The following is a 12867-nucleotide window of genomic DNA, read 5'->3' as shown; positions in this document are numbered from 1 at the left end:
GCTATTTCCTGGTAGCTGTAATGATAATAATTTTGATACGTTTTTACATGACTTAAGCATTCTGAAAAGTCTGATGCTTCTGAGTATGGAGGCTTAGCTATTTCTTTCATAAAGAAGGGGCCCTGAGACTTGTGAGTCTTATCCAAATGCGTTTCTTCAAAGGTGTCAGATGAACTGAAGGATAATGGAAACAATAGCAAATTTATCTTCTCAGTCACCTGTGAGTCTTCCTTTGAGAGTGGGACTTGCAGAGTACTTGGTAGGGTAGAGCTCTTTGTGACTATGCTATTTAGGAAATGGTGAGAGATGGATTGTTTTCAGTACATCAGTCATAAGAGGATATGAGTGAGTTCCAACTTTCCTTATTTTACCTTAGTCTTGACAAATAACAAGTATGGATTATGTCTGTATTTCTCAGACTTGTTTAAGGTAGAACTGGACTGGGTGTTAACAGTGTTAGTTCAGCAGAGACATGAGCAAATCACTCACTTCCCCTTCAAGATAACACTTTAAAGGTGCCACCATTTGCAGAAGAAAGCAGTGATTTAAAGCAGCTATACTAGCACAGTTTAGAATACTTACACTAGCTGATGGAGTAGATACATTCTAGAAATATTTACCTGTAGTGGGAGTTGAACAGTGAGAACACATGGACACAGGGAGTGGGGAACATCACACACTGGGGCCTGTTGGGGGTTGGGGGGCTAGGGGAGGGATAGCATTAGGAGAAATACCTAGTGTAGATGACGAGTTGATGGGTGCAGCAAACCACCATGGCACGTGTGTACCTATGCAACAAACCTGCACGTTCTGCACATATACCCCAGAACTTAAAGTATAATAATAAGAAAGAAAAATAAATATTTACCTGTTAAGGACATTTCTGTGTATTTTATTCCATCTTTCCAATAGTTTTCTTATGAAGAGATTATAGTTAACCTTTGAACTTAACAGATTGAGAGGGTAAACCTTTAAAAAATATATTTGGTCACACTTACAGACTGAGGGTAAAAACATTCCTGACAAAGCTAGGCGAAGACACTTGGACTTTTTTTTTTTTTTGAGACGGAGTCTCGCTCTGTCACCCAGGCTGGAGTGCAGTAGCACGATCTTGGCTCACTGCAACCTCTGCTTCCCCGGTTGAAGCGAATCTTCTGCCTCTCCCGAGTAGCTGGGACTACAGGCACACGCCACCATGCCTGACTAATTTTTGTATTTTTAGTAGAGACGGGGTTTCACCATATTGACCAGGCTGGTCTTGAACTCCTGACCTCGTGATCCACCCACCTCAGCCTCCTAAAGTGCTGGTACCCCCGTGAGTGGGACCACTGCACCCGGGTGAATCTTGGACTTTTGATGCTTCCTTCTTTTAAAGTTAACATCTAGCACTTGAATAGACTTGGTTATTACTGATGGGGACAGGCATCCATTTGGAAGTAGCTTCCCTCTCTCTCTCTTTCCCAGGTTAGGCTGTCTTATTGCTGTAAATGGGGAGAGAAGAGAAAGCCGTGGGTGGAAGAAAGTGTTTCATGGCCTGGTGCGGTGGCTCATGCCTGTAATCCCAGCACTTTGGGAGGCCGAGGCGGGTGGATCACTTGAGTTCAGGAGTTCAAGACCAGCCTGGCCAACATGGTGAAACCCCGTTTCTACTAAAAACAGAAAAATTAGCTGGGCATGGTGGCGGGCACCTGTAATCCCAGCTACTTGGGAGGCTGAGGCAGGAGAATCACTTGAACCCAGGAGATGGAGGTTGCAGTGAGCCGAGATTGCACCACTTCACTCCAGCCTGGTCGACAGAGCGAGACCTTGTCTCAAAAAAAAAAAAAAAAGTGTCCCACTCAGTTGCCCAGGCTGAAACGCAGTGGCAGGATCACTGCTCACTGCAGCCTTGAACCAAGCGATTATCCCACCTCAGCCTCCCAAGTAGCTGGGATCACATGCATGCACCGCCATGCCTGGCTAATTTTTTTATTTTTGTAGAGACAGGGTCTCTCTATGTTGCCCAGCCTGGTCTCAAACTCCCGGGATGAAGCAATCCTCCCACCATGGTCTCCCAAAGTGTAGGGCTTACAGGCGTGAGAGCCTGCTGGGGTTTTTGATTGACATTGCATTGAAACTGGAAATCAGTTAGGAGGCAACTGACATTTTAATAATGAGCCATGAACATGGTATATCTATTTATTTAGACCTTCTTAGATTTTTTGTCAGTGTTTTGTAGTTTTTAGCAGTTGGATCTTGCTTGTATTTTGTAATCTTACACATTTATTTCATGTTTGTGGTACTGTTGTGAATGATACTTCTCAATTTCCAGTTGGTGATTGCTAGTATATAGGAAGGTGATTTTATGTTATATGCTGACCTTGGATTCTACAACCTTGCTAAACTCATTTTTAGTACTAGAAGCTTTTTTGTAGATTTTTGGAATTTTGTGCATAGACAGTAATGTCACTGGCAAATAAGGGCAGTTTAATTTCTTTGTTTTCACTTTGTATGCTTTTATTTCCTTTTTTTTTTTTGAGACGGAGTTTCTCTCTTGTTGCCCAGTAAATTAGCCCATGTAAATATTTCTGTTTGTATCTCTTGAAAGTAAAGACTCTTTTAACCATGGATGAGTGTCTTGATCAAATCAACATGGCTTGTTCATGTCGATACCATTTGCTCAGAGGGGAAAGATTAAGGGAAAAATGGGGTTGGATTTGAAATGCCAGGACCTGTCTACTGGGTTTGTGATTTGTTATTCTCTAAAGTTGTAGCTCTTAAAACAAAGAAAGGAGTGAGTTTGGCCTATTCATTAACTTTTACTCTTTAGACAGTTCAAATGTTTATTGAGTTCTTCTACAGGGCGAGCCCTGCCTTCTTCATGCTTACCAAGAAGCATTTTTACGCGGTTTCTCTAATGTTTGGGTGAACGGTACCTCACTAAGTTGTTTTTCACGCACGTGCGTGCTCGTTCCTGAAGAGTCCTGTCCAGGTGCTCTGCCCGCTTTTCCTTTCAGGCTTCTGTATCAGCTGCCGTTTCCCTATAGAACGTGCCCTGACCTCCACCCCTTAACCCTAACCAATTTGCCTTTACATGTCTGACCATCCATCAAGGCTCTTTTGGGTCATATTCAGTCCATGTTGATATTTCCCCTTCCTCCCTTCTTTAGTCCTTACTATTTTTGCTTTGGTCATGTTTTCTTACACTGTATTCTGTAAGCCTGTTTAATTTTTTTATGGTGGCAGGGGAAAATATTTTATAATTATGCTTTGTGCTTTTTATCTTCCACTCAATAAATGCTTGGTAAATATTTGTTTTATTGAATGTATGAGCCTATTCTAGCTATATTGTGCTTGAACAAAAATCTTAACTGCCTTGTAAGTTAACTGCTAAGAATTTGTCAAAAGTGCAGAGATAACATCAAGAGCTTGTCATGGATAGTACAAAAAGGTCTCTAAGGGCTTGATGGAAGTCTGTAAATTGACTTCCTATGAAAGAGAGTGTAAGAAGTGAAAAAAAGCAAAACAGAGTAGATGTTTTACTCTGTTTGCCAAGGGATTTGTGCTATTTTTTTCCTGTTTTATAAATTTGTCCTAATCTTAAATAATGAAGGGAAAAGAGCACTCTTTTTCAACCAAGGAATCCTTTTTATACTTCTTTTCTGTGAAGCCATGTTATGAAAGATTGTTATACAAACTTAAGTATAGTTTTTCCATCTTCAGTAACAGACCTGATTGCCATCTAGTTACTGGTTCTGATCACACAAGAATGCAAAGCAGCTTGTTCTAATAACTTGTGCAGGCCTATTGGGAACTAGTATATGGCTTTGAGTCCTTTTGAAGTATTTAACATAATTTGGCAATTCCATTACGCCTTTTATGGACTTCTTGGCATCTATGAACTCTTGGTAGGGAATCACTGTTTTAGAATGAAAAATGTCTCCCAGGAAGTAAATTAGCCGGTAAACAAATGAAACTTCATTTTTTATATGACTTGTAGAGCATAAATTATTACTCTTTCTGCATAAGTGGCTGCTTTCTAGGCTGCTTTTAGCGAGATTGTTAGAAACAAATGATTGGTGCTGTGAGGAAGAAGCAGCACTCAGGCAAAAAAGTTTTCTCAGCAAGACAATTTGCTTCTGCAAGTATGCTGCTTGCATTAGTCATGATTGCAAGAGCACACCAAACGGGGTGGAGCAGGGGTTCTTATCCCTAATGCACTCCCTACCTCTGTGTCATTCCAACATGGGCTGGGGTAGGACTGCACAATCTTAGCTGACTCAGCTGGATATTGTGAATATTTTCTCTAATAAGAAAGGGAGGGGGAATGTGAGTTACAGATTGGGGCTGGTAGGAAGAGTTGTTTACAAGGCAGGTTACTAAGCAGGTAACTAAGCTGGTAAGTAGGGTCGAGAAGGTACAGGGAAATTGTTCTTAGGAACAGAGAACAAGGAAGTTGAACAAGTTAAACCTTTGAAGAGGAACTTACTGTACCTAACAATTCCCCCCTCTTAATTTTTGTAATTCTTCCTCTTCAAACTTTTTTAGCATGTCTTTGCTTTGCTGTTCTGCTTGGTTTTCTAGAAGGAAAAGCTTATCTGAATAGGGTGGAGGAGAGCTAAGAGAGGTTTTGGTAAGTTCTGTGTCTATGAGTCTTTGCAGTAGTCCACAAATGTATGGTATGATACAGCATCCAACAAGAATAAGCACACCTATAACGATTGCAAGAGAAGTAAATATTGAGGACATTAAGCCTTTCCATTTTCCAGACCATTTCTCCATTAAACTTGTAAAGGGATCATTTATTCCAGAATTGCTTGCTAACTCATTGGATAAGGAGGTTAGGTCCTGCAAAGCTTTTGTTACTGTTCCGTCAGGGGCTGTGTTATTAGGAATAAAAGTACATCATTGGACTCCAATCATGACACAGACACCACCTTTTTCTGCTAGCATCGTATCTAGGGCTATCCTGTTTTCCCAGACTATTTAGTTAATGGGACCTAATTGGGAGGCTGTTCCCTTAATGGCATGTCTTGTGTAGTTAACAAACCTTTGTTGGTTGTAATAAATGTAGTTTATCCGATCTACATTTTTATTTACAGTTGACCACCAAAACAGCACAGATTCAAATCCTGAAGCTGTTTGATTTCGGGCCTTAAATTTATCTGGTACCCCTCGTGGAACTCCAGTAGCATCTTTATAAACGTGGGAGTCAAAGGACCCATGAAGGTCACTTCTTCTCTTCTGATTTTCTCTTCTATTATGTTAATGGAATGCTAGGGTGAAAGGGATGGCCAGTTGGACTAGAGCACAAGTACCACTCCAGTTACTTGGCAGAGTGTCCAGTAAGGGTCCACCACAATACCACCATACGTATGCTCGAGGATGAACAAGGGCAGACTGACTGGTAAGCTCTTGGGAGAGTTTAAGTTCACCGCATCCCTTTAGGTCTTCATGAAATGCCAAGTTTTCCCCTTGTTGTGAGAGACCCGAGGTAAAAATTGGTGTCAATAGATGGAGGCTGGATGGCCCTCAGGGACTGACCTGCAGGGTGTTGGACTTTAGGGAATAGCAGAGAGAGAGCTTGGCAAGATTCATTACCCCAGGCTGTGGGGTCTTGGAGAAGAGCTACCATACAGCTCATGCCCAGTTGGCTGGAAGACCATCCGAGTGGAAAGGGGACAACCTGGGCCTCTGGCCTACTGTGCGCACAAGTGTAACAGTTGCTTTTGTTTAGAGTGCGGACAGAATATTTAATCCATTCTAACCAAGCATTTGCATCTTGGTACCCTGTCTCAGTTGCTATGGTTTGTTTCAAATTTTTAACTTCTACAATGGCTTACCTTGATTTTATCCTTGGTTGAAGGAAGAACAGCGGTTTCGTTGAGAGAGAGTGTAGAAGGAGGTGGAGGAGGTGAGAAAGTAATGAAATGCATTTCAAAGGATTCTATAAGATGTGTCCCTGCTATTTTGGCTCCTATGCCGTATAAGCGACTTAAAGTAGGTTTAGGGTTGGCAGAAGTGGGGATAAGAATAGAAATTTGCACTGGATTACATTGGTTATACTGGCAGTCAGGGGGTGGGGAATGTTTCCTTTAACAAAGCAAACATGGTTTTAGAGACTTACAACTGCCTGTTGACAAAGCCCTGATGTTCAGTTGTCCACATAATATCATTCCAGCTGTGGCAGGCCTGTTTCCCTACATTTCTTAAGGAACAAGAGTCGTAATGGGGGAGGCTTTTGTCTGAAAGGGACGGAGATACTTCTCTGAGGCTGAGAGTTGCTTTTGACTTTGGAGAGCTCCACAGGATATAACAAGGCAAGCATCAAAGGTAATAGTTTGGGGTGAGCTCGACCTAGTTACATTAATAACGAGAGGACTAGCAATAGAAGGGGAAAAGAAATATAGCATAAGAGGATCAAACCCGTTTTAGCTTTAACTTGGTTGGAATTGGCCCTGAAATAGCTGTCCATGATTCTGGAGTGGGTGGTGCTCTTTTGACTCAGGTATGGTGAGTCCATTCTTTTTCAGTGGTGTGGACGGCTGTCTCAGTCATTAGAAACACTAGATAATGTCCCTCCCAGGTGGGCTTGAGCTTCCTTTCTTTCTGACCTTTGATGAGAATGTGGTCACTGTCCGGGCTGGTGGTGGTGAACTGGAAATTCAAGGGGTGGTGTATGTGCCAAGAGGCCTTTAGTCCTAAGGAAAGAGAAAGTGGAGGATAGACCAAGTATATAGTTCTTGAGAAACAGATCTTTTGTTTCGAACGAGGAATGTCAGCAGTGGAGTGTAGATAAGGCAACTCATACAGCATTTCATAAGGAGGTGAGCCGACATCTTTCCTAGGGGCAGTTTGGAATCTTCACAAGACCATGGGGAGGCATTTAGTCCATGGCAACCGAGTCTCTAGGACTAATTTGGTTAGGTGGTTTTTCAGAGTCTGATTCATTCTTTCTACTCTTCCTGATGAAGGTGGGTGCCAGGGGTTATGGTAGTCCCATGTTATATCTAGTACTTGGGCTAGTTTCTTAAGAACATGTGCAGTGAAATGAGTCCTGTTGTCTGAATCAGCATTTTCTATTAATCCAAACCTGGGTATAATATTTTCAACTAATGCCTTGAGTACATTACTAGCAGTTGCACTTGAAAAGGGAATAGCTTCTACCCAATGAGTAAGGTGATCTATCACTAATAAATATTTTAAGTGACCAATTGGGGGCATTTCGGCATAATCAATTTGGACAATTTGGAACAGCCTTAATCCTGGATTTCTCCCTCCAACAGGTGGTTTTCTGAGGATCTGCTTATTAGTCTTCTTACATACTAGGCAACTATCTGTAACTTGTCTTGCCAAAATGTAAATTCCTATACATCTGTAGACCCCGAGGACTGCATCACACTTAGCTTGAGGTCCCTAATGAGTCCCTTGATGCAGATGAAAGAGGATTTCCCTCATGAGGGGTTTGGATAACATTTCTCTTTGGTCTGGTGACACCCATTTCCCTTCTGAATTTTCTTTGGCTCCTATTTTTATTAATTTTTCCTTTTCAGCGGGAGAAAAGATGGGGACTGCAGTCGAGGGAGGAAGGCAAGGGGCTAAGTGAAAAACAGGCATTTTCAGAGGAAACGGCAGTGTGTTTGGCTATTTGATCTGCTAGGTTATTCCTTCCGCTTTGAAAAGAAAGACCTTTCTGATGTCCTGGAACATGGACAATAGCTATTCTGGCAGCTGCAGGTTATCTAATACTTGGGTGATTAATTCTTTGTGGCCCAGGTCTTGGCCTTTGCTATTAATAAGATCTCGTTCAGTCCAAATTTTTCCAAAGGTGTGAGCTGCCCCAAAGGCATACTTGGAATCAGTATAAATAGTCCGTTCTTGGTTTTGCAAGTGCTTTAAGGCTTGATTTAATGCAAACAATTCATTCACATGTTTGGGCAGACCAATTATTTGGCAGGCTTCCTGACTCTACTTCTTCAAGTGCCTCCCCATCTACTACTGAGTACCTATTACGCCTTTTTCCTTCAATTACTTGGGAAGAGCCATCTATAAAGAAGCCCTGCCCCGTTTTGTAAGGGGTCTCTCTTAAATCAGGCCTAACTTTTGTATGATCATTAAATCTAAACACTCATGCTCAGGTCTCTTTAGATTTGAATCTCCAGTCAGGAAACCTCTGGGTTAAGTGAATTATCAGTGGTTAGTGTTAAATCATCTCTTTCTAACAGGATAGCTTCATACTTTAAAATTCTCAAGTCAGTAAGCCACCTTCCTGCCTTTTAATTTAAGATGGCTCTAACCTGATGGGGCATGTTTACAACTAACTTTCCCCCAAAGGTTAGTTTTCTGCTTTCTTTAGTTAACAAGGCGGTAGCTGCAATGGATTGAAACATTCAGGCCATCCACAGGTTACTGGATCTAAAACTTTTGATAGGAGATCCATGGGTTGCTGGTGACCTCCGTGTTCTTGGGTAAGGACCCCTAAAGCTACCCCCTTATTTATGTTAACAGAAAGGTGAAATGGCTTTTCTAGGGAAGGCAAAGCTAAAACAGAGGCAGTTATAAGCAGATGTTTTAGCTCCTCAACCTGGTGGAGTTCTTCAGAAGTCCAGAGGAGAGGGTCAGGCTTTTCTTGGGTGATTTTTAGGTAGAGAGGCTTTATGACAAGGGCATATGAGTCAATCCATAAGCGGCAATATCCGGCTATCCCTAGGAATTTTCTGAGTTCTTGTTTAGTCTTAGGCAAAGGTATGGATACAATCCCTTCAACCCTCTCAGGCCCTATCCTTCGTTTGCCGTTACTTATTAAGTGTCCTAGGTATTTAACTTCAGGCTCTATGAATTGAAGCTTTCTCTTTGAAACCCATAGCCCCTCTCCTTACAAATGGTTAAGGATATGGATGGAGAAAGCAGATACCTTTTCTATAGCCTAACCGGATATTAATAAGTCATCTACGTACTGGAGCAGACATATACATTTTGGGGTATAAACTTGTTCTAACACTTGTTCTAGAATTTGACCAAAGAGATTAGGGGAATCTGTGAAGCCCGGGGGTAGAGCTGTCTATCGATACTGTTGCTGTCATCCAGAATGGGGATCTTCCCATTCGAAAGCAAAAATGTCTCAGCTGTCCTCATCCAAGGAGCATGCTCAAAAGGCATCTTTTAAACCTATTACTGTAAACCATTGATGTTCATATGGAATTTTACTGAGAATGGTTTAAGGATTAGGGACAACAGGATGGGTAGTCTAGACTGTCTGGTTGATGGCCCAGAGGTCTTATGCTAGTCGACATGACCTATCTGGTTTCTTCACAGGCAGTATTGGGGTGTTATAAGGGGACATACAGGGTTCAAGGAGCCCATCCTTGATGAGGCTTTCAATTACAGGTTTCAGGCCTATTCTGCCTTCTAAAGGAATAGGATATTGCTTTCTTCTTACTATTTCTCCAGGGGTTTTTAACTTTATATGTATAGGGGGAATTTGGAGTTTTCCCCAATTTCCTTCCCTTGCCCAAACATCAGGATGAATGTATGTTTCTTCTGCAGTGGTGAGCAGGTTTAATGAAGTGTAGAATCCTTCTGAGCCAATACGTAAACCTATACCTAATTTTAACATTAAGTTTCTTCCTAATAGATTAGTTCCTGCCTCTGAAATTAACAAAAATTCAACATTAGCTGAGCAGTTTTTACATCTAATTTCTGTTTCTTTTAAAATTTTTAGTTTGATTCCCTCTCCTTTTACCCCTGAGACTACAAGCTCCTCTGAGGACCAGGTTATATTGTGGGGGAAGGTAACAAACAGAGGAGCAGGCTGCTCCTGAGTCTACTAAAAAGGTCATAAGCTCAGATTTGGGTTCCACTTCTAAATTTATCAAGGGCTCTTGGTGGGATTCAAGGTAAAAGAGACAGAGCCCCTAACCCCCCTATTCCTCCTCAAAGGTCGTAAGTGGGACGACTTCTCTTTCTGATTTTAATTTGGGACAATACCTCTTGAAGTGGCCTACTTTCTCACAATTGAAGCATTGATTCTGTCTCTTCTCTCTATTTTTGGGTTTCTCGGCTTTGCCTCCTTATGTTCTTTATATGGCTTAGGAAGTGGGGGCCTAGGATCTTTATAGGTTTTGGCTCTCGGGAGGCTTTGTTTGGGAGTGTGTGGGTCTCTGGGTAACAGAGAGTAATACTGGTGTGTTTTATCCTTTGGGGCCCCCTGTTGGAAGGTGGATAACATAATTTTCATTTTTTCTTTTTGCTTCTCCTCATCCCTCCTTACACACACTTTCTGAGCTTCTCTAAGAAGCTCGTTCGTGGGATGGTCCTTCCAATTTCCTATCTTTTGTAATTTCCTTGTGATATCTGGCTGTTAGTAACAAAATGAAGCTTTAACATTCACTGCCTAAGAGGATCTTCTAAATCTAGGCCAGCATATTTTCTCATTTGTTCTTTCAACCTGTCTAAAAGTTCGATAGGCCCTTCATCTTTCCTTTGTTGTATGTCGAATGCTCGAGTAAGATTTTGGGTTCGGAGTACTGACTCCCGAATCCCTTTTATTATCATTTCCCTAAGTTCTTGCGTATCCTCTTCAGTGGGCTGCGTTATTATTGTCCCAGCAGGGGTCTTGGTTGGGGAATTTTTGATCCGCTGCATGAATGTTTTGGCCAGGAGGGTGTTCATGTTCCCAGGCTACCATAGCAGCTCTACAGATGATGCTTCTTTCTTCCCCTGAGAAAAGGATGCCTAGGATGGACATTAACTCAGCCCAAGTATATATAACTGTGGTCCTAGAAATTGGTTAATTCGATCTGCTATTCCACTGGAGTTGTCTAATAGTGTGGCTTGAACTCTGTTTTTAGGTTTTGGACCTCCGAGCTGGTTAAAGGAGCATTTACAAAGTGAATACCTCCTCCTCGTAGGGACACCTCTCTTCAGGGGAAGAGAGGTGGAGCTAATTCTCCCGAGGTAGAGGGGAAGGGGAAGTTCTGAATATCCCTTTTACATTGCTCTATCTCACATTGAAGTCCTTTCAGGGAAGAGTACTTAGGGTGATAGTGAGCAGGCTGTTGGGACAATTCCCAAGAGGCAGGGTTATAAAGAGGGGGAACAATGTGGGTAGGAGAAGGGTCTGGGACAACTGCCTCTGCTTGAGGGGGAGGGAGGTTAGGGGTATTGGACGGGGGAAGGTGGTGGAGGAAGTTCCATGTGTTGGTGAGCTGTCTAGGAACAGGGACCTTATCTTTCTCAGAGGAGTTAATTTCTGACTTGCTTTTCAGGATTGATTCCTGAGTCCAAATGAAACAACAATATTTTATCATTTGCTGCTTTTTCTTGTATTTAGTCCTTTCACTCTCTTTCCAATATTTTAGCATAAGCCCTAGGGGACTATCAGGAGGAATGTTATTGTTGCTAGCTTTATCCTTTTTCTCCCCTGCATTACTTGAGGTATTTCCCATCTTGAAAAGGGATTGGGGTGAGGCTCAATTTCCCCTACTAGAAATTTCTTCCCAGTTACGAGAGGTTTGTATAAGGCTCAACCTCTCCTACTGGAGATTTCTCACCTTTCCTTTCCTTTCCTTTCCTTTCCTTTCCTAGAGGCTCAACCCCCCTGCTGGAGGTTTCTTGCACTTTTCTCCTTTCGCTTCATCCTTCTCTGGCTGCTTCCCTCACGGGAACGTTGGTTTCCTCTTAGCAATGGCTGTTTCAGTAGAAACCCCTGACCCAGACTCCTTTACAGAAGGGCTACCTTAAGCTGTATAAGGTGACCACAGAACTGCAGATCTGGACTGAACACTTGCTTTGCACTCAATTGTGAGTCTCAACACACACTTTCAATCTCCAAGATATCCCAACCACCAAGAAAATACTTTGTCGCTCTTGTGATGTTTCTTACGTTGGTCTGTGCACATAGTTACCTGGTCACCATGGTATGTGAGGATCCTTTTCTCTTAAGTTGTTGGTCTGTTCCTTTCCAGACTGCTGAGAGTCCGGGTTTATTCATCACACTGGGTGGGTCCTGATCCCTCACCATGAGGCCACCTCAATGAGGCAGTGGGATGCTTCTCCTCACTATTGGTGACTGGAGACCCTTTTCTCAGAGGAGAATGGGAATTCCGGACGAGCCCCCAGATTGTTAGAAACAAATGATCAGGCTGGGCGCAGTGGCTCGCCCCTGTAATCCCAGCACTTTGGGAGGCCGAGGTGGGCGGATCATGAAGTCAGGAGATCGAGACCATCCTGGCTAACATGGTGAAATGCCGTCTCTACTAAAAAAAAAAAAATACAAAAAAATTAGCTGGGCGCAGTGGTGGGTGCCTGTAGTCCCAGCTACTCAGGAGGCTGAGGCAGGAGAATGGCGTGAACCTGGGAGGTGGAGCTTGCAGTGAGCTGAGATCAAGCCACTGTGCTCCACCCTGGGCAACAGAGCGAAACTCTGTCTCAAAAAAAAAAAAAAAAAAGAAAGAAAAAAGAAACAAATGATCAGTGCTGCAAGGAAGAACCAGCACTCAGGAAAAAAAGTTTTCTCAGCAAGACAACTTACTTCTGCAAAAGAGTGCTGTTTGCATTAGTCACGAATGCAAGAGCACACCGAGCGGGATAGAGCAGGAGTTTATATCCCTAACGCAGTCCCTACCTCTCTGTCATTCCCACATGGGCTGGAGTCGGACTACACAATCTAAGCAGACTTGATTTGCTATCGCGAATATTCTCCCTAATAAGGAAGGGAGAGGGAATGTGAGTTACAGGTTGGGACTGATGGGAAGAGTTGTTTACAAGGCAGGTAACTGAGCAGATAACTAAGCAGGTAAATAGGGGTGAGAAGGTACAGGGAAATTGTTCTTAGGAACAAAGAACAAGGAAGTTGAACAGGTTAAACCTTTGAAGAGGAACTTACTG

The 12867-nt window shown here is 42.6% G+C and overlaps 1 long non-coding RNA gene across 1 annotated transcript; it reads right to left on the bottom strand.

Annotated features, from left to right (window-relative positions):
* Positions 1-6394: 6394 nt before the first annotated feature.
* On the bottom strand, positions 6395-12214 carry LOC105370936 (uncharacterized). Its single transcript, XR_932562.2, has 2 exons — positions 11886-12214; positions 6395-6680 (listed from the first exon to the last, which is right to left on the bottom strand). It is a non-coding gene; the product is annotated as an uncharacterized LOC105370936 (long non-coding RNA).
* Positions 12215-12867: the final 653 nt, after the last annotated feature.

Source organism: Homo sapiens, chromosome 15 (assembly GCF_000001405.40).
Source record: "Homo sapiens chromosome 15, GRCh38.p14 Primary Assembly".
Classification (NCBI taxonomy): Eukaryota; Metazoa; Chordata; class Mammalia; order Primates; family Hominidae; genus Homo; species Homo sapiens.
This window is presented reverse-complemented; position numbering and strand designations above follow the sequence as displayed.